Below are 18626 nucleotides of genomic sequence, written 5' to 3'. Positions count from 1 at the left end.
CTGTAGTATTTAACATGGCTAAGTACATAGTACCTATAAATTACCTATAAAGCCTTTTTGCCAAAAATGTGAACAATTGAATGTAATCAAGATTTTATTTCTATTTTTAAAAATTTTTTGGAGACAGGGTCTTGCTCTGTCACCCAAGCAGGGGTGCAGTGGCTCAATCATGGCTCACTGCAATCTTGAACTCCTGGGCGCAAGCAATCCTCCTCCCTCAGTTTCCTGAGTAGGACTACAGGTACATATCACCATGCCTGGTTAATTATTTTTTCAGGAAAGGGGGGGAGCCAGAGTCTCACTATGTTTCCCAGACTGGTCTCAAATTCCTGGCTTCAAGTCATCCTCTCACCTCAGCCTCCCAAAAGCGCTGGGGATTACAGATGTGAGACACCATGCCAGCCTAATCAAGCTTTTAGATATAACTTTTGTTTTACAGAAAATTCAGGGACTTAGAGCTGTGCTGTATGATGGCCCCTAGTTAACCATAACAATTTAAATTACCCAAAACTTAATAGAATTAAAAACTTAGCCACATTTCAAGTGCTTAATAGCCACATGTGGCTAGGAGCTACTGTATGAGACAATGCAGATATAGAACACTGCCATCATGGCAGAAAAGTTCTAAGGGACAGTGCTAAAATGGCCTATTTTACAAAAGTCAAGGTCATTACAGAAAATAAGAAAAATGACTCTACATTAAGATCCATGACATACAACTCAGGAAAAGCAGGCAGGGGGTGGGGGGGGGCAGGAAGAACCATGATAACCAAACTCAATTGGTTATTCTATACCAAATCTTGGTTTTAAAACATCAGCCATATTTCCAGCCAGAAAGGTGGCAAAAGAAAAAAAGAAAAAGATCGGTCATAACATTTTGAGACAACTAGGGAAATCTAGGGGATTGTTCATCTTGATAGATGTAATAGCAAGGTATACAGGAAGAAATGTTAAGTGTTGCTCAAAAAAACTTGTGAAGTCATATCTGTAATATATCTTTAAAAGGCCTGTGGGAAGGCTATATAGAAAAGCAAATATGGCAAAATGTTGACAATTGCTGATATAGTTTTTTTGTACTATTTTACCTTTCTGTACACTTGAAAATTTTAATAACAGCCTTAAATACACTGTAATTGAGGGCCACAGATGGCCTGAACATGAATGCACCAAACATTAACAAATAATTCTGATATCATTGTCACTGGGCAAAACAATAGCTAATATTTGATAATCTGATTATCTTCTCAGTGGTGAACTCTCTGCATTTCTTGGCTGGAGGCCCTGGTTTCTAATGTGAAGTGAAGCTCACTGTCCAGCAATATATGACTAAAAATTTTCCCTTTTATAATGTATCCACTGTCATTACCCATCTTACTGTTTCAATTACTTTAATCTTCTGTTTCTTTTAAACGTTTAAAAATGGGCTTATGTGGCTTTTTATGATACTTTGCAAATTTCTATGCTAGACAGCTGTCAATTTTACTATTTCACTTTCCCTAAAGCCTTTAATTTTAGCTCTTAATTTTTAATAATAAACAGAAGCCACCACAAGAGTCCTACAAAAGAACCCAAAAGAGGTTTTTGTTGTTGTTTTGTTTTGTTTTTAAGATGGAGTCTCACTCTGTCTCCCAGGCTGGAGTGCCATGGAGCAATCTCAGCTCACTGCAACCTCTGCCTCCCGGGTTCAAGCGATTCTTCTGCCTCAGCCTCCCTAGTAGCTGGGATTACAGGGAGGCATTACACTACACCCAGCTAATTTTTGTATTTTTAGTAGAGATGGGATTTCATGTTGGCCAGGCTGTCTTGAACTTCTGACCTCAAGTGATCCACCTGCCTCAGCCTCCCAAAGCGCTGGGATTACAGGATTGAGCCACCGCACCCAGACAATTTTCATGTTAATGGTGGGTCCTAACCACTTGTCTAGTGTCAGAAGTAAACATGCTGGTTAATTTAAGGTTCTCTCTAAAAAGCACTTACACTCACATTCCAATATGCCACCTTAAGGAGGGGAAAAAAGTACAGAGTTACCATTATACTGGCAACTATAATCTGCAGTCTAACCCATCTAAGTGAAAGTCCACTGTTTTTTTGTTTTGTTCAGACAGGGTCTTGCTTTGTCACCCAGGCTGGAGTGCAGTGGCATGATCACTGCTCACTGAAGCCTCGATCTCGGGCTCAAGCCATCCTCCCACATCAGCCTCCCAAGTAGCTGGGACTACAGCTGCATGCCACCACACCTGGCTAATTTTTTTAATTTTTTTAGTAGAGATGAGGGTTCACCATGCTGCTCAAGCTGGTCTTATTAAACTCTTGGTTCTCAAGTGATCCTCCCACCTCAGCCTCCCAAAGTGCTGGGATTACAGGCGTGAGCCATCACACCCAGCCTCCACTATTGCTTCTAATGTTTATAGTGAGTTGTCATTTTGTTATTTCCGCTTTCAAAACATTTTTTACCTGTGGATATATCTCTAGAAAGATGGGTCATACACGGTGGCTCATGTCTGTAAACCCAACACTTTGAGAGGCCAAGGTGGGAAGAACACTTGAGCCCAGGAGTTTGAGACCATCTTGGGCAACAGAGTGAGATCTTGTGTCTACACAAAATACAAAAAATAACTGGGCATCATGGAGCACACCTGTAGTCCCAGCTACTCTGGAGGCAGAGGTGGGGGGATCACTTGAGCTCATGAAGTCGAGGCTGCAGTGAGCCATGATTGCACCAATGCACTCCAGCCTAGGTGACAGAGTGAGAACTTGCCTCAAAAAAAAAAAAAAAAAAAAAAAAAATGCCGAGCACCGTGGCTCGCACCTAAAATCTCAGCACTTTGGGAGGCCAAGGCAAATGGATTACCTGAAGTCAGGAGTTTAAGACCAGCCTGAGCAACATGGTGAAACCCTGTCTCTACTAAAAATACAAAAATTTGCCAGGTGTGGTGTCACATGCCTGTAGTCCCAGCTACTTGGGAGGCTGAGGCAGGAGAATTGCTTGAATCCCGGAGGGGGAGGTTGCAGTGAGCTGAGATCATGCCACTGTACTCTAGCCTGGGCAACAGAGGGAGACTCTGTCTCAAAAAACAAAACAAAACAAACAAAAAAAACAGGTAGGAGAAGAAAATGCTAAGTAAAAAAAAAAATGTATCATGAGCAGATGAAATCTAATGTCAAGAATTCAATGTTACATAGTAACCACTCATTACAACTGTTCAAAAACAATGTATCATAAATGATAATGAAAAGTTCAGTTCACTTTGTTGAAGACAATCACACAATAGTGTAGCATCCCCTTGTTACATCAGTCTATGGTTGAATGAATAAATTGCCTGAAAACCACGTCTCTTGCCCACTCAATAACTCTCAAAATAACCTTGGGAACTCTGAAAAGAATCTTTTTCTTGCTGTCACCCAGGCTGGAATGCAGTGGCATGAACTTGGCTCACTGGAACCTCTGCCTCCCAGGTTCAAGCGATTCTCCTGCCTCAGCCTCCCAAGAAGCTGGGATTACAGGCACCCGCCATCATACCTGGCTAATTTTTGTATTTTTAGTAGAGACGGGGTTTCACCATATTGGCCGGGCTGGTCTTGAACTCCTGGGCTCAAGCAATCCTCCTGCCTCAGCCTCCCAAAGAGCTGGGATTACAGGCGTGAGCCACAACACCCAGCTGACAAATTTTTGAATTCCCTCAGTGATTACTAACTGTAATCAGTTATTAAATTGTGTTGCCCTAAGTGCATACTTCAATCTCAGGAAACAGCACAGCATAGAACTAAAGAGCTTGGATTCTGGAGGTCAAAAGTAACCTGGCCCTTGATGAGCTTATACACTAATTCCAAATCCTACACCATCAAATGAGCAGTCTCCAGTCCAAGGGAGAAAATAGTTTCTGCAAACTTAGATCAGGCTTCAATTTGGGCCAGAGGTAATTCATAGAAATGATTTACAATGTTGGGGTGGAGGGAGGGGGGAGGGATAGCATTAGGAGAAATATCTAATGTAAATGATGAGTTAATGGGTGCAGCACACCAACACGGCACATGTATACATATGTAACAAACCTGCACGTTGTGCACATGTACCCTAGAACTTAAAGTATAATAATAAAGAAAAAAAGAAATGAATTACAATATTCCTTACAATGACTCAATCTTCTCATTTGCTTCTCCCTTCAGTCTAAGGATGAGGCACTTTTTCTATCTAGAACTCTTTTCCCAGGGACTCTAGATAACACTCCCCCATCACCCCTGGAAGGCCCTTGGTCCCTCTTTTTTTTTTTTTTTTTTTTTGGAGATGGGTCTCACTACGTTACCCAGGCTGGTCTTGAACTCCTGGGCTCAAGCACTCCTCCGCCTGCCTCAAGCTCCCCAAGTGCTACGATCACAGGCATGAACCGTTGTGCTGGTTTATCTTTTCTGTATCTTCAACAGATGGCCTGGTCCATCTTTTCTGTATCTTCGACATTTATCTACTAGCTTCCCTCCATATAAACTTTGTCAGTCTCCTTTAAAATTCTTCCCTTAATCCTATCATTTTCTTATGGCCTCAATCTTTTCTTCCATACCTCATCCCAGAGCATTTTCCACCTTTCTTCTCTTACTGAAGCGGACTCATAGCATTCAGCCGAAGAGCCCCTTTCTGGCCAGTGCACCTGCCAGACTGCAGAGGAAGCCAGAGAGCTTCAATTAAGCCCTTCAGCATGATCCTGTGGCCTCTCTCTCCACCCACTGTCTTTACAGCCTACATCACACTTGGCTTTTCCCCCAACATTCCTCTAAAACTCCCCTTACACTAAGATTAACACTTACCATGCTAAATTGTTAAATCTAATGAATTATTTTTGACTCTTAACTTGACCTCCCAGGAACATCTGCACTGAACTATTATGATTCTTAAAATGCTCTTCTGGTTTCCAGGATACCATTTTCCAAATTCTATTTGTTCATTTATTGAATATGTACTAACATAAAGCACCTACAAATGGTGCCAAAGCATTGAGTTAGAATTTGGGGATACAGTCTCTTTGCAGAGTTTTTTGTATTTTTTATAGAGATAGGGTCTCACTATATTGCCCAGGCTGGTCTCAAACTCCTGAACTCAGGCGATCCTCTGACCTTGGCCTCCCAAAGTGCTGAGATTACAGGCATGAGCCACTGCGCCTGGCTAATTTTTTTTGTATTTTTAGTAGAGATGGGGTTTCGCCATGTTGGCCAGGCTTGTCTTGAACTCCTGGCTGCCCAACTCAACTTGCCAAAGTGCTGGGATTACAGGCCTGAGCCACCTCACCTTCCCCACTTTGGAGTCTCACTCTGTCGCCCAGGCTGGAGTGCAGTGGTGTGATCTCAGCTCACTGCAACCTCCGCCCCTCCAGGTTTAAGCAATTCTCTGCTTCACCCTCTGGAGTAGCTGGGATTACAGGCGCGTGCCACCACGCCCGGCTAATTTTTTTGTATTTTTAGTAGAGACGGGGTTTCACCATGTTGGCCAGGCTGGTCTTCAACTCCTGACTCCCAAAGTGCTGGGATTACAGGCGTGAGCCACCGCGCCCAGCCTTTTTTTTCTTTTTTTTTAATTCCATCTATACACGCCCCCCCGCCACCCTGCCGCCCCGCCTTATGCCAATCTCAGCCACTTCAAAGTATCAAATACATGGGCACAAATGACTGCTGAATATAATTTAAATATTCGAGATACTTACTGTTTTCCTATTCTCCATCCAATAAACCACTGCTTTTATTCAATCACTAGTCACCACATAAATTATGCAATGGTGTTGCTTAAGATCATACAGTTCAACTCACTGTCCTTCATGCTATACAAACCCCTTTATAATCTGCCCCCTTACTAGACTCATCTCTTGCTACTTCACCAATTCCCAACACGGTCAGCGACAGTGAGGCAGGGTATCTGTAGTACTAGCTAGCCAGTAGGCTTAGGCAGAAGAATCGCTTGAGGTCAGTTCAGGCTGTAGTTGGCCATGACAGTGCCTGTCAATACTCCAACCTGGGCAACACAGCAGGACCATCTCTTTTTTTTTTTTTGAGACGGAGTCTCACTGTCATCCAGGCTAGAGTGCAGTGGCCCGATCTCAGCTCACTGCCACATCCACTTCCTCCTGGGTTCAAGCCATTCTCCTGCCTCAGCCTCCCAACTAGCTAGGACTACAGGCACCCACCACCATGCCCGGCTAATTTTTCTATTTTTAGTAGAGATGGGGTTTCGCCATGTCGGCCAGGCTGGTCTCAAACTCCTGACCTCAGGTGATCCACCCGCCTCGGCCTCCTAAGTGCTGGGATTACAGGCGTGAGCGACTCAGGCGATCCTCTGAGATCGCCCAGCCATAGCAGCTATCTGTATTAAAAAAAAAAAAAAAAAAAAAAAAGCAATTATCCACTGTCACATCCTACTCGGTGTACATACATCCATGCCTTTGAGAAACTTCTCTTTACCTGAACTTCCCTCCTCACTTTTTAGTCTAACTTCTATTTGTCCCTCAAGATCAAGACGAGTTATCACTTCTGCCCAAGAGCCTCTCTCATTCCCTCCCATCCACCCAGGCCTTTCCCTTGAGTCCCAAAGTCCCTGTACATACCTCTTTCTTTTTTGGGGGGAGCGGGGAGACGGAGTCTCACTCTGTCGCCCAGGCTGGAGTGCACTGGCGTGATCTCGGCGCACTGCAACTTCCGCCTCCTGGGTTCAAGCGATTCTCCTGCCTCAGCCTCCCGAGTAGCTGGGACTACAGGCGCCTGCCATCACACCCAGCTAATTTTTGTATTTTTGGTAGAGATGGGCATTTCATTATGTTGGCCAGGCTGGTCTTGAACTCCTGACCTCAGGTGATCCACTTGCCTCGGCCTCCGAAAGTGCTGAGATTACAGGGGCGAGCCACTGCACCCGGCCTCCTCTATCTTAATTCTTAATACAGGCCAGCGCGCCTTGAAGTAAAGCCCACCACAATCCTGCAGTACCCAAAAGAGGGTTCAGACGTTCCAGGGGCTTAATAAAGTTAATTGAATAAATAAATGAAGCAAGAACCCGAACTTCCCCGTCCCAAATGACCACTTGCAGAATAAACACAAAATGCCAGCTAAAGCTAAACGCTCCGTACTTTCTCCTGCATTTCCAAAATTACAGTACAGGCAGCAGCGATCCACACCAGTCCAAGACCTAAGAGGAACTACAAAGACCATGAGTATTTTTCAAAATGGGAGGAGGCAGTTGGACAACTGGACCTCCCACTCCCTCGCCCCAACCTCCTCCTTCCCAGCCCTCCCTTGAAGAAAAACCAGACATTTAGGGGAAAAGAGGGAGAGAGAGAAAAAGATCCCTTGGGGGCAACGAGCCTGAAGTTGGTAAGGCCAAAGGGAAGCGACTGGCAACTCACCTGGGCTGCAGGCACGAAGCGGGGTGGCCTTCTCAACTGCCCGGACTGTCGCACGATGTTGATGGGGTCGGGGAGGGGAGAGGGGGGAAAAAACGGTTGTTCCCACCCAAGGCCGCACCTCGGGGCCGGCCTAAGGCAGCACCCCCTGTGGAGGGTACATTACCTGTATGTTACCTGTATATTACAAAACCGACCTTATGTGATTGCCCCTTTCAGGCTGCACAAAATGAAGCGGTGCAGGGCAACAGTTCTCCGCAGTTCCTCGCCGCCAGTTTTTGTTGTAATGGCGGTCGCGCGACAGGCGCTTTTATAGAAGACCCCCCGCGGGCGGCCTGCCCATTGGTCTGAACCTGTCACGTGACCACACCCAGCCCCGGGCGGTGCAAAAAAGGTGTAGGAGTCTGAGCCGGGCAGCTCAGGCCTGTTAGGGCAGGCAGAGTGGGTTCGGGTGATTGCCGTGTAGAGAGCCGGGGGTTAGGAGTAGGAGCGCTACACTCAAGGCGTTTGCTGTTAACACGACGTTTTCACTAATCAGTTAGCCTAGTAGAGGTTCTTGAGTTTTGGCTTCTGATGTTTTCGTGGTTTTCACGCTTTTTTCCCCAGCCTTCTCCACAGTTCCTGTCTCTTGCACGTAGTGAGTGCTTGATCAATATTAGGTAGCAGCTGAGGCTAGAGACATACTCTCTTTGGGTTTAAAGTGGCAATTTAAGAGCTGTTTCGCAACAGCTGCGTACTGATGAGTGCGTGATTTAGGATTTTGAGTCTTCGCAACTACCTCTTGATGGTTTGCAGATACTTTAGAGGTGCTAACATGTATCAGAAGAATATATTTAGTACAGTAGTTTCCCTTAGGATCAAATAGCAAACAACGCTTCTGAATTCCTAATACTCATTCGCAGTGGATGGATGGGAAGGGGAGGGCAAAAACAGCTGACAAGCTGCTCGCAAATCCGGCCAAAAAACCATCGATCTCCAGTTTCCTGAAGCGGAAGTCTGGGGGCCATTAACAGCTTGACACGTCTTAATTCAATCACTTTGATGTGGCAGGAAAGAACCAAGTGTTCACAAGAAAGCAACGCACTTGATCTACTTACTAGACGTCACATAAATACCTGGATTGGCAAGCACTTTTTGTTTAGATTTAATTTTCGTGTTCTTGTTTTTGCTGTTTAAAGTAGTATTAATGGTGTGGCTGCAGGCGCCTGCAATGCCCGTTACTGGGGAGGTTAAAGCGGAAGGCTCACTTAATCCCAAGGTTTCAAGGCCAGCCAGAGCAACAACGTGAAACTCTAATAGATTAGAGATTAGATATAGAGATTATCTTATTGTTCAGGAAAAGAGTAGATGGGTACAGACTTAGGGTGTGACTCTCACATCATGAAAAATCTGAAAGAAGTCAAGGGAAATGAAAGAGAGGAATGACTCAGTACAAATTTTGCCCCAACTATCAACTTTTTGACCTTCCTCTTGAGAATTAGTGGCAGGGAGACATGTACACTCTAGGTAAAGAAGATTGAGTGATTTTTTTGAGATTGAGTCTTGCTCTGTGGCCCAGGCTGGAATGAAGCAATGCAATCATAACTCAAGGTAGTCTCGAACTCCTGAGCTCAAGCATCCTCCTACCTCAGCCTCTCCAGGTACTGTAGGTGCAGACCACCACATTGCCTTCTGAACCATCTTTTAAAAAGCTTAATCTCAGGCTGGGCTCGGTGGTTCATGCCTGTAATCCCAGCACTTTGGGAGGCTGGGGGTGGGGGTGGGAAGGGGTGGATCACTAGGTCAGGAGTTCGAGACCAGCCTGACCAACATGGTGAAACCCTGTCTCTACTAAAAATACAAAAATTAGCTGGGCGTGGTGGCACGGGTCTGTAATCCCAGCTACTCAGGAGTCTGAGGCAGGAGCATCGCTTGAACCTGGGAGGTGGAGGTTGCAGTGAGCCGAGATCGTGCCACTGCACTCCAGCCTGGGCAACAGGGCGAGACTGCATCTCAAACAAACAAACAAAAAGCTAAATCTCATCATGTTACCACCCTTAAAACCTTTCAATTACTTTCCATTATTTTTAGGATAAAAAGCAAACCCCTTAAGATGAGCTAAAAAGTCCTACATGCCTTCAGCTCCAACTACACCTTCAGTAGTGCCCCCATCTTCAGCCAGTGACCTTTCAGCTCTTTCCAGGACCCTATCCTTTGTCTCTGGGCTTCTACAATTGGCTCTTTCATCCTTCCTCCGATCCCACACTGATTCCTCAACTCTCAGGCTGAAGTCATTTCCTCAAGGGGGCCTCCACTGGATTAGGTCTTCCTGTTAAACACTCTTATTACAACCTAATTAAATAGCACTAATTACAACTGTATAGCCAGTGGTATATTTAATGTCTATTTCCTGCACTAGACAGTATGTACCATAAGTGCAAAGTATCAAAAACTTTTAAAGTATATTATCATTGAGTAAATTACCCTTCGATCCTGCCTTTTGTTTTTTTTTTTTTTTTGAGACAGGGTCTTGCTCTGTCACCCAGGCTGGAGGGCAATGACATGATCATGGCTCACTGCAAACTCCACCTCCTGGGTTCAAGCTATTCTCCTGCCTCAGCCTCCCAAGTAGCTGGGACCACAGGCATGTGCAACCACGCCCAGCTAATTTTTTTTGTATTTTTAGTAGAGATGGGGTTTTATCATGTTGGTTAGGCTGGTCTTGAACTCCTGACCTCAAATGATTCGCCTGCTTTGGCCTCCCAAAATGCTGGGATTACAGACGTGAGCCACTGCACCAGGCCCTGCCTGGGTTTTAATGACTCTGGCAAATTAGATTTGAATTAAGGGGGTGGGGAAAGTAAAAAGACCAGATTTGAAGTTTCTTTTGTTTTCTGTTATTTTTGTTTTCTTTTTTTTTTAACTTGAAATGGCTGCAAAAATGGAGAATATGGAGAATGGGTTTATTTGGGAGGTAGACCTCCCCACTAGGATTTGGTATTAGATTAGATGTAAAGATGGTCTGGGTTGCATTGAGCATTTGGAGAATGGCACCATTTACTGAAAGGGAATCAGTCTTAGAAGGTTGAAGATCATTATTTCAGTTTTGAATATTCTGTAAGATATCTAGGTGGAGATTTTGAATAAGAAGTTGATTAACCAGTTCAAAATACAGTCTAGGCTAAAGATGGGAAAGAAGGACAGGAAGGAGGTTAGGAGAGAGTGGAAATTTTTCTAAATAATTATTACAGAGAACAGAACAAGCTGATTGGAAATGTGCATTTAGTAAGACATACTTGAGACAGTGAAGACACAGAAATTGGTGACTGTTTGTGGAGAAATGAGGTAGTAGCATTGAGATTTGCCAGGGGTGTATGACAGAAAAATGGTAGGGGAAAGTAGCTTCAAAAATATGGAAAAGAAAGTGGGCTGGGCGCAGTGGCTCACGCCTGTAATCCCAGTATTTTGGGAGGCCGGGGTGGGCGGATCGCCTGAGATCAGGAGTTTGAGACCAGCCTGGCCAACATGGTGAACCCCGTCTCTACTAAAAATACAAAAATGAGCCAGGTGTGGTGGTGGGTGCCTGTAATCACAGCTACTCGGGAGGCTGAGGCAGGAGAATTGCTTGAATCTGGGAGGCGGAGGTTGCAGTGAGCCAGGATTACACCACTGCATTCCAGCCTGGGCGACAGACTGAGACTCCATCTCAAAAAAAAAAAAAAAGAAAGTGGCTGAAGACTAGGATATTATGAGGCTATTCTATGACATATGGAAATACTCGTAATTATGATTTTTTAAAAAATCATCAAAGAGTTTCAGGTAGCATGCATTTTTCATTTAAATCAGGCTATCACAAGAACATACTTTGGAGACATTTTAACATTTCCATCCTTCACAGTGATTGGGGGATCACCGGGTTGCCTAAGGAGGGAGGAACCAACCCAGGTCAGAAACGGATCAGGTTGGCCGGGCACCGTAGCTCATGTCTGTAATCCCAGCATTTTGGGAGGCAAGGAGGGGTGATCACTTGACATCAGGAGTTCAAGACCAGCAGAGCCAACATGGTGAAGCCCCGTCTCTACTAAAAATAAAAAAATTAGCTGGATGTGATGGTGCCCGCCTATAATCCCAGCTACTTGGGAGGCTGAGGCACGAGAATTGCTTGAATCCGGGAGGTGGAGTTTGCAGTGAGCCAAGAATGAGCCACTGCACTCCAGCTTGGGCGACAGAGTGAGACTCCATCACAAAACAAAACAAAACAACAACAAAAAGAAATGTAGCAGGTCAAAACTCCTGTGCTGATCAGTAATGGGATCTCAGCTGTGAATAGCCTGTGCACTCTAGCTGGGCAATATAGCAGGACCTTGTCATTAATATATATATATATATATATATATATATATATATATATATATATATATATATATTTTGTTGTTGTTGTTGTTTAAGTTTCCATCCTTCATCTAACATTAGATTCAACAAAAGGAAACCCATCTTCTGGTCTCCATAGCAACTATAGATTCACAAATGTCCTCAAAACTAAGAGTTAAAGAATTTAAATTTACAACTGGTTTATCACTAAAAATGAAAAAATATCACTCTTGCCTCAGAAGGAGGAAATTTTTTAAAAAGTAAAAATAGGCCGGGTGCAGTGATTCATGCCTGTAATCCCAGCACTTTGGGAGACCGAGGCGGGCAGATCATTTGAGTCCAGGAGTTCAAGACCAGTCTGACCAACATGGCGAAACCCCATCTCTACTAAAAATACAAAAATTAGCCGGGCGTGGTGGTGGGTGCCTGTAATCCCAGCTACTCAGGAGGCTGAGACAGGAGAATCGCTTGAACCCAGGAGGCAGAGGTTTTAGTGAGTCAAGATCATGCCACTGCACTCCAGCCTAGGTGACAGAGTGAGACTCCGTCTCAGAAAAAAAAAAAAAAAAAGGTGTAGAGACAGGGTCTCACCGTGTTGCCCAGACTGGTCTCTGGTCTCGAATTTCTGGCCTCAAGGAATCCTTCCACCTCAATCTGTTGAGTTTTTTTTTGAGACAGGGTCTCACTCTGTTACCCAGGCTGGAGTGCAGTGGTGCAATCAGGCTCACTGTAGCCTCAACCTCTTGGCCTCAAGCCATCAGATCCTCCCACTTCAGCCTCCTGAGTAGCTGGGACTACAAGTGCACACCACCACCCCTGGCTAATTTTTTTTATTTTTTTTGTAGAGATAAGGTCCTGTCATGTTACCCAGGCTGGTCTCAAACTACTGGCCTCAAGAGATCCTCCCACTGAGGCCTCTCAAAGTGGTGGGATTACAAGCCTGAGTCACCATGGCTCATGGCCCGGTCTCCTCCCTGGAGGTCCAAGGTTGGGGAGGATGGGGACTGAAAGTTCCAACCCTCTAATCAAGTATTTGGTTTTTCCAAAGACCAGCTCTTATCCTGAAGCTATCGAGAGGCCCCACCCTGAGTCACCTTGTTAGCATATACTGAGGTGTGATTGAAGGCGCTTGTAATGAATAACAAAAGCTACTATCACTCAGGAAATTCCAATGGTTTTAGATGATTTGGGCTAGGAACTGGGGACAAAGACTAAACATATATTTCATTATACCACATAATGCAGTGATCTTTCCTTACCTGCAGGGAATATGTCCCAAGAACCCCGGTGGATGCCTGAAACTGAGGATAGTACCAAACTATATATACATACATTCCCATGATAAAGTTTAATTTATAAACTAGGCATAGTAATAGAGTAACAATACATAATAATAAAATAGAACAATTATAACAATATACTGTAATACAACTTATGTGAATGGTTTCTCTCTCAAAATATCTTATTGTACTGTACCCACACTTCTTGTGATGATGTGAAATAACAAAATACCTACACAATGAGAAGAATTGACAGAGCTGTATGGTGCAAGATTTCATCCTGCTATGCAGAGTGGCAGGCAATTTAAAACTTACAAAAATTTTTTTCTGGAAATTCCCATTTAATATTTTCAGACTGCAGTTGGCCATGGGTAACTGAAACCTCAGTAAATGAAACCAAGGACATGGGGGCACTGCTGTACTCTATATGTACCTATTAACCATATATAATTGTATATGTTCATTTATTAACAATGATCTCAGTTTTTGCTTTATTTATTTATTTATTTATTTATTTATTTATTTTTGACACGCAGTCTTGCTCTGTCGCCTAGGCTGGAGTGCAGTGGTGCGATCTTGGCTCACTGCAACCGCTGCCTCACCGGTTCAAGCAATTCTCCTGCCTCAGCCTCCGGAGTAGCTAGGATTACAGGCTCCTGCCACCACACCCAGCTAATTTTTGTATTTTTAGTAGAGACAGGGTTTCACCATGTTGGCCAGGCTGGTCTCCTACTCCTGACCTCATGATCCACCCGCCTTACCTCCCAAAGTGTTGGGATTACAGGTGTGAGCCACTGGGCCTGGACTTTATTTTTATTTTTAAACTTCATTGACGATCTCTTAATCTTTAAACAGAAGCTTTGGGATTATACTTCATTTATTTATTTAGAACAATTCTCCAATAGTAAACAGTGGAGGTAGAACAAAATGCATAGGCTTTTTTTTTTTCAGACAGGGTCTTGCTCTGTCACCCAGCCTGGAGTGCAGTGGTGCAATCACAACTCACTACAGCCTCAACCTCCTGGGCTCAAGCGATCCTCCCAGGCGTGCACCACCACACCTGGCTAATTTTTTTTTTTTTTTTTTTGTAAAGATGGGATTTCACCATGTTGTCCAGGCTAGTCTCGAACTCCTGAGCTCAAGAGCTTCACCCGCCTTGACCTCCCGAAGTGCTGGGATTACAGAGGTGCCCGGCCATATTTTTATTGAAACATAATTAGGAGGCTGGGTGCAGTGGCTCACGCCCATAATCCTAACACTCTGGGGGGCCGAGGCAGCAGGAGTGCTTTTGAGATCAGGAGTTCAAGACCAGCCTGGGCAACATAGGGAGAGCTCATCTCTGTTTATTTAAAAAGAAGAAAGGAAAGTAAGAAACTTAAGCCATTGGTAATAAGTGAGCATATAAGAAGTTCTCGGCCGGGTGCAGCGGCTCACTCCTGTAATCCCAGCATTTTGGGAGGCCAAGGCGGGTGGATCACCTGGTTGCGAGTTCAAGACCAGCTTGGCCAACATGGCGAAACCCTGTCTCTACTAAAAATACAAAAATTAGTTGAGCGGGTGGTGGATGCCTGGAATCCCAGCTACTCTGAAGGCCGAGGCAGGAGAATCGCTTGAACCTGGGAGGCGGAGGTTGCAGTGAGCTGACATCATGCCACTGCACTCCAGCCTGGGCGACAGAGTGAGATTCCATTAAAAAAAAAAAAAAAAAGGCCGGGCGCAGTGGCTCACGCCTGTAATCCCAGCACTTTGGGAGGCCGAAACGGGCGGATCACAAGGTCAGGAGATCGAGACCATCCTGCCTAACACGGTGAAACCCCGTCTCTACTAAAAACACAAAAAATTAGCCGGGCGTGTTGGCAGGCACCTGTAGTCCCAGCTACTTGGGAGGCTGAGGCAGGAGAATGGCGTGAACCTGAGAGGCGGAGCTTGCAGTGAGCCGAGATGACGCCACTGCACTCCCGCCAGGGCGACAGTGCGAGACTCCGTCTCAAAAAAGAAAAAAAAAGTTCTCACAATGACTGTTGGATATGCCAAGAATTTTCAATCTGCTATGTGATTTTTTTTTTTTATTTTTTGAAACAGGGTCTCGCTTTGTCACCCAGGCTGGAGTGCAGTGGCGTGATCTGGGCACACTGCAACCACCCACTCACAAGTTCAGGCAATTCTGCCTCTGCCTCCCGAGTAGCTGGGACTACAGGCACGTGTAACCACGCACAGCAAGTTTTTGTATTTTTAGTAGAGACGCGGTTTCACCATGTTGGCCAGGCTGGTCTGAAACTCCCGACCTCAAGTGATTCATCCTCCTCCGCCTCCGCCTCCGCCTCCGCCTCCGCCTCCACCTCCGACTCCGACTCCCAAAGTGCTGGGATTACAGGCGTGAGCCACCGCCTCTTGGCTTGCTGTTTGCTTTTTGAGTGACACTTGGGTAAATTTAAATACTCCCATAGTATTTATAATGTTGTCGTTTCTGACATCATTATTAGCACCAAATGTGTGGGGATTTTCTACACCAAATTTTCCAATTCTCCCCAACTTGGTGTCCAACAATGCAATTCTAAGACTATTGGGAGTTAGCACAGACTCCACAGGTTAAGAGATTAGTCCCGGGTTGGGCGTGGTGGCTCACGGCTGTAATCCCAGCACTTCCGGAGGCCGAGGCAGGTGGATCAAGAGGTCAGGAGTTCAAGACCTGCCTGGCCAACATGGTGAAACCCCGTCTCTACTAAAAATACAAAAATTAGCTGGGCGTGGTGGTGGGCGCCTGTAATCGCAGCTACTCGGGAGGCTGAGGCAGGAGAATCGCTTGAACCCGGGCGGCAGAGGTTGCAGTGAGCCGAGATTGCGCCACTGCACTCCAGCCTGGGCGACAGAATGAGACTCTGTCTCAAAAAAAAAAAAAAAAAAAAAAAAAGAGAGAGATTAGTTCCACAAGACCCGCCCCTTCGGACACCAGCTGCAAATAGAGTGCTCAAGCTACCTACACTTCTGCCACGGAGACTACAAATTCAGGGGTTCCCATGAGCTCAGAAAAACGCTTTACTTACGTTTATGGGTTGATTACAGAGGATACAATTCAGGAGGAGCCAAATTGAAGACAGGTATATTAAGTTATGAGGGGTAGGGGGTGACTCAGAGCTCCTTGCCTTCTTCGATGTTTCACCCTCTCAGCATCTCTACCTGTGCACCAACCCGGAAGCTCCCCAAACCCCATGGTTTAGGGGTTCTTTTAAATCAAGGTTTCATTACATAGTAACGGTGATTAAGTCTTTGGTCACTGGTGATTGAGCCTAATCTCTCAGCCCTTCTCCCTTCCTGGGAGGTGAGGTGGGAGGGGACTGAAAGTTCTAACTCCAATCACCTGGTGGGTTTTTCTGGCCAACCAGCCGGTATCCTAGAGCTGGCTATCTAGGAACCCCTACCTTGAGTCACTCATTGGCATACAAAAGACATTCTTATCACTCAGAAGATTCCAAGGGTTTTAGGAGCCAGTATTAAGAACCTAGATCAAAAACCATTTGTTTTTTATTATACCATAATCTTACTTAGAAAATACAAACTGCTATGGTTTTGTGAATAAAAGATTCTCAGTCTAAATTTTTTCCTTCCTGTTAGGTATGAAAGTTAATGAATAGCTTATGTAACAAAAAAAACTTTAGAGATGTAACTGGCTATCTTCCCATTGATTCAGAAATTTGTTTTGAATACAAAATGAGTGTTTTATATGTACCATGATCAAAATAAGTGCTTTAATTTTTTTTTTTTTTGAGATGGAGTCTCACTCTGTAGCCCAGGCTGGAGTGCAGTGACATGATCTCGGCCCACTGCAACCTCCACCTCCAAAGGCAATTCTCCCGTCTCAGCCTCCAGAGTAGTAGCGATTACAGGCGCATGCCACCATGCCCAGCTAATTTTTGTAGTTTTAGTACAGACAGGGTTTTACCATATTGGTCAGGCTTGTCTCAAACCCCTGACCTCAGATGATCCACCCGCCTTGGCCTCCAAAGTGTTGGGATTACAGGAGTGAGCCACCGAGCCTAGCCAAAAGAAGTGATTAATTTTAACTGATCAGTCACCATAACTGATGCTTGATTAACAACTGTCCATAACTTGCTTAAAATGGAAAAATATATAAAACACCATTTCAGGAATGAAAGACAAGGCAAAACTATTTTCTAAGAAGGTAGACCTTAGAAAGGACATCATCAGTAGGTTAAACTACGCCTCAAAAAGAGTAAGCTTAGGTTTTGAATGTATTATAAACATACTGGGCTGGGCATAGTGGCTTACACCTGTAATCCCAGCACTTTAGGAGGCCGAGGTGGGCAGATTATCTGAGGTCAAAAGTTCAAGCAAGACCAGCCTGGCCAAAATGGTCAAACTCTGTCTCTACTAAAAATACAAAAATTAGCCAAGCATGGTGGTGTGTGCCTACAGTCCCAGCTACTCGGGAGGTGAGGCAGGAGAACTGCTTAAGCCCGGGAGGCGGAGGTTGCAGTGAGCCGAGATTCGCACCATATCACTCCAGCCTGGGTGACAGAGGGAGACTCTGTCTCAAAAAAAAAAAAAAAAAGATAAAGATAATGTTTTCCTCTTCTCTGGCTGATCTGTAAAGATATCTGACAAAGTTGATTTTTTTTTCTTTTGAAAAAGTCTCACTCTGTCACCCAGGCTGGAGTGCAATGGCACAATCTCAGATCACTGCAACCTCCACCAACTGCGTTCAAACGATTCTTGTGCCTCAGCCTCCCCAATAGCTGGGATTACAGGGTTGCGCCACCACACCCGGCTAATTTTTGCATTTTTAGTAGAGATGGAGTTTTACCATGTTGGCCAGGCTGGTCCTGAACTCCCAACCTCAGGTGATCCGCCCAGCTCGGCCTCCCAAAGTGCTGGGATTACAAGCGGCCACAAGTTGAAAATTTGTAATTAACAAGCTGGAAATGGTAATTTCAAAGGAAACTGGGAATTCTTCTGGCTTGTGGAGACATTCACTGTTTTTAAGATAGCTATTCTTCTTATTATTATTTTTAGAGATGGAGTCTCATTAAGTTGCCCAGGCTATCCTCAAACTCCTGGACTCAAAAGACCCTCCAACCTCAGCCTTCCAAGTAGCTGGTATTTTATTTTATTTTATTTTATTTTATTTTATTTTATTTTATTTTAGATGGAGTTTCGCTCCTATTGCCTAGGCTGGGGTGCAATGGCGACATCTTGGCTCACTGCAACCTCCGCCTCCCAGGTTCAAGCGATTCTCCTGCCTCAGCCTCCCGAGTAGCTGGGATTACAGGCATGTGCCACCACACCTGGCTAATTTTGTATTTGTAGTAGAGATGGGATTTCTCCACGTTGGTCAGGCTGGTCTCGAACTCTCGACCTCAGGTGATCCACCCACCTCGGCCTCCCGAAGTGTTGGGATTACAGGCGTGAGCCACTGTGCCCGGCCTGGTCTTTTAAACATAGTTATTCTTAAGAGATTCTGTATGAGTTTGCTAAACCTGTCGTAAGAAAGTACCACAAGCTGGATAGCTGAAAACCACGGGAATATATTCTCTCATAGTTCTGAAGGCTTGTACAACAGTTGCCTCTTATCCTCATAGGATATGTTCCAAGACCCCCAGAAACC

At 44.9% G+C, this 18626-nt stretch overlaps 1 protein-coding gene across 16 annotated transcripts in view, besides 2 other annotated features; it reads right to left on the bottom strand.

The window, feature by feature from the left end:
- The window catches only part of BRDT (bromodomain testis associated), a 65058-nt gene extending 57370 nt beyond the window's left edge, over positions 1-7688 (bottom strand). For 2 of the 16 annotated variants that reach the window (NM_001242806.2, NM_001242808.2), the window contains exon 1: positions 7377-7688. The gene's annotated coding sequence lies outside the window, so the exon portion shown is untranslated. Of the gene's footprint in view, positions 1-4800; positions 4908-6584; positions 7170-7376 lie in introns of those variants that run through there. The other 14 variants (XM_006710855.5, XM_011542032.4, XM_011542034.4 and 11 more) reach the window with 14 other exon arrangements.
- Positions 14212-14897: an enhancer, noted in NCBI's record as "H3K27ac-H3K4me1 hESC enhancer chr1:92407719-92408404 (GRCh37/hg19 assembly coordinates)". NCBI's record gives its function as "activates a minimal SCP1, AML or CMV promoter by ChIP-STARR-seq in primed H9 embryonic stem cells {active_cell/tissue: H9 hESC(primed)}" and the evidence as "EXISTENCE:reporter gene assay evidence [ECO:0000049][PMID:30033119]".
- Positions 14898-15584: an enhancer, noted in NCBI's record as "H3K27ac-H3K4me1 hESC enhancer chr1:92407032-92407718 (GRCh37/hg19 assembly coordinates)". NCBI's record gives its function as "activates a minimal SCP1, AML or CMV promoter by ChIP-STARR-seq in primed H9 embryonic stem cells {active_cell/tissue: H9 hESC(primed)}" and the evidence as "EXISTENCE:reporter gene assay evidence [ECO:0000049][PMID:30033119]".

Source organism: Homo sapiens, chromosome 1 (genome assembly GCF_000001405.40).
Source record: "Homo sapiens chromosome 1, GRCh38.p14 Primary Assembly".
NCBI classification, from domain to species: Eukaryota; Metazoa; Chordata; class Mammalia; order Primates; family Hominidae; genus Homo; species Homo sapiens.
Note: the sequence above shows the minus strand (reverse complement) of the source record. Positions and strands in the feature narration are given on the sequence as shown.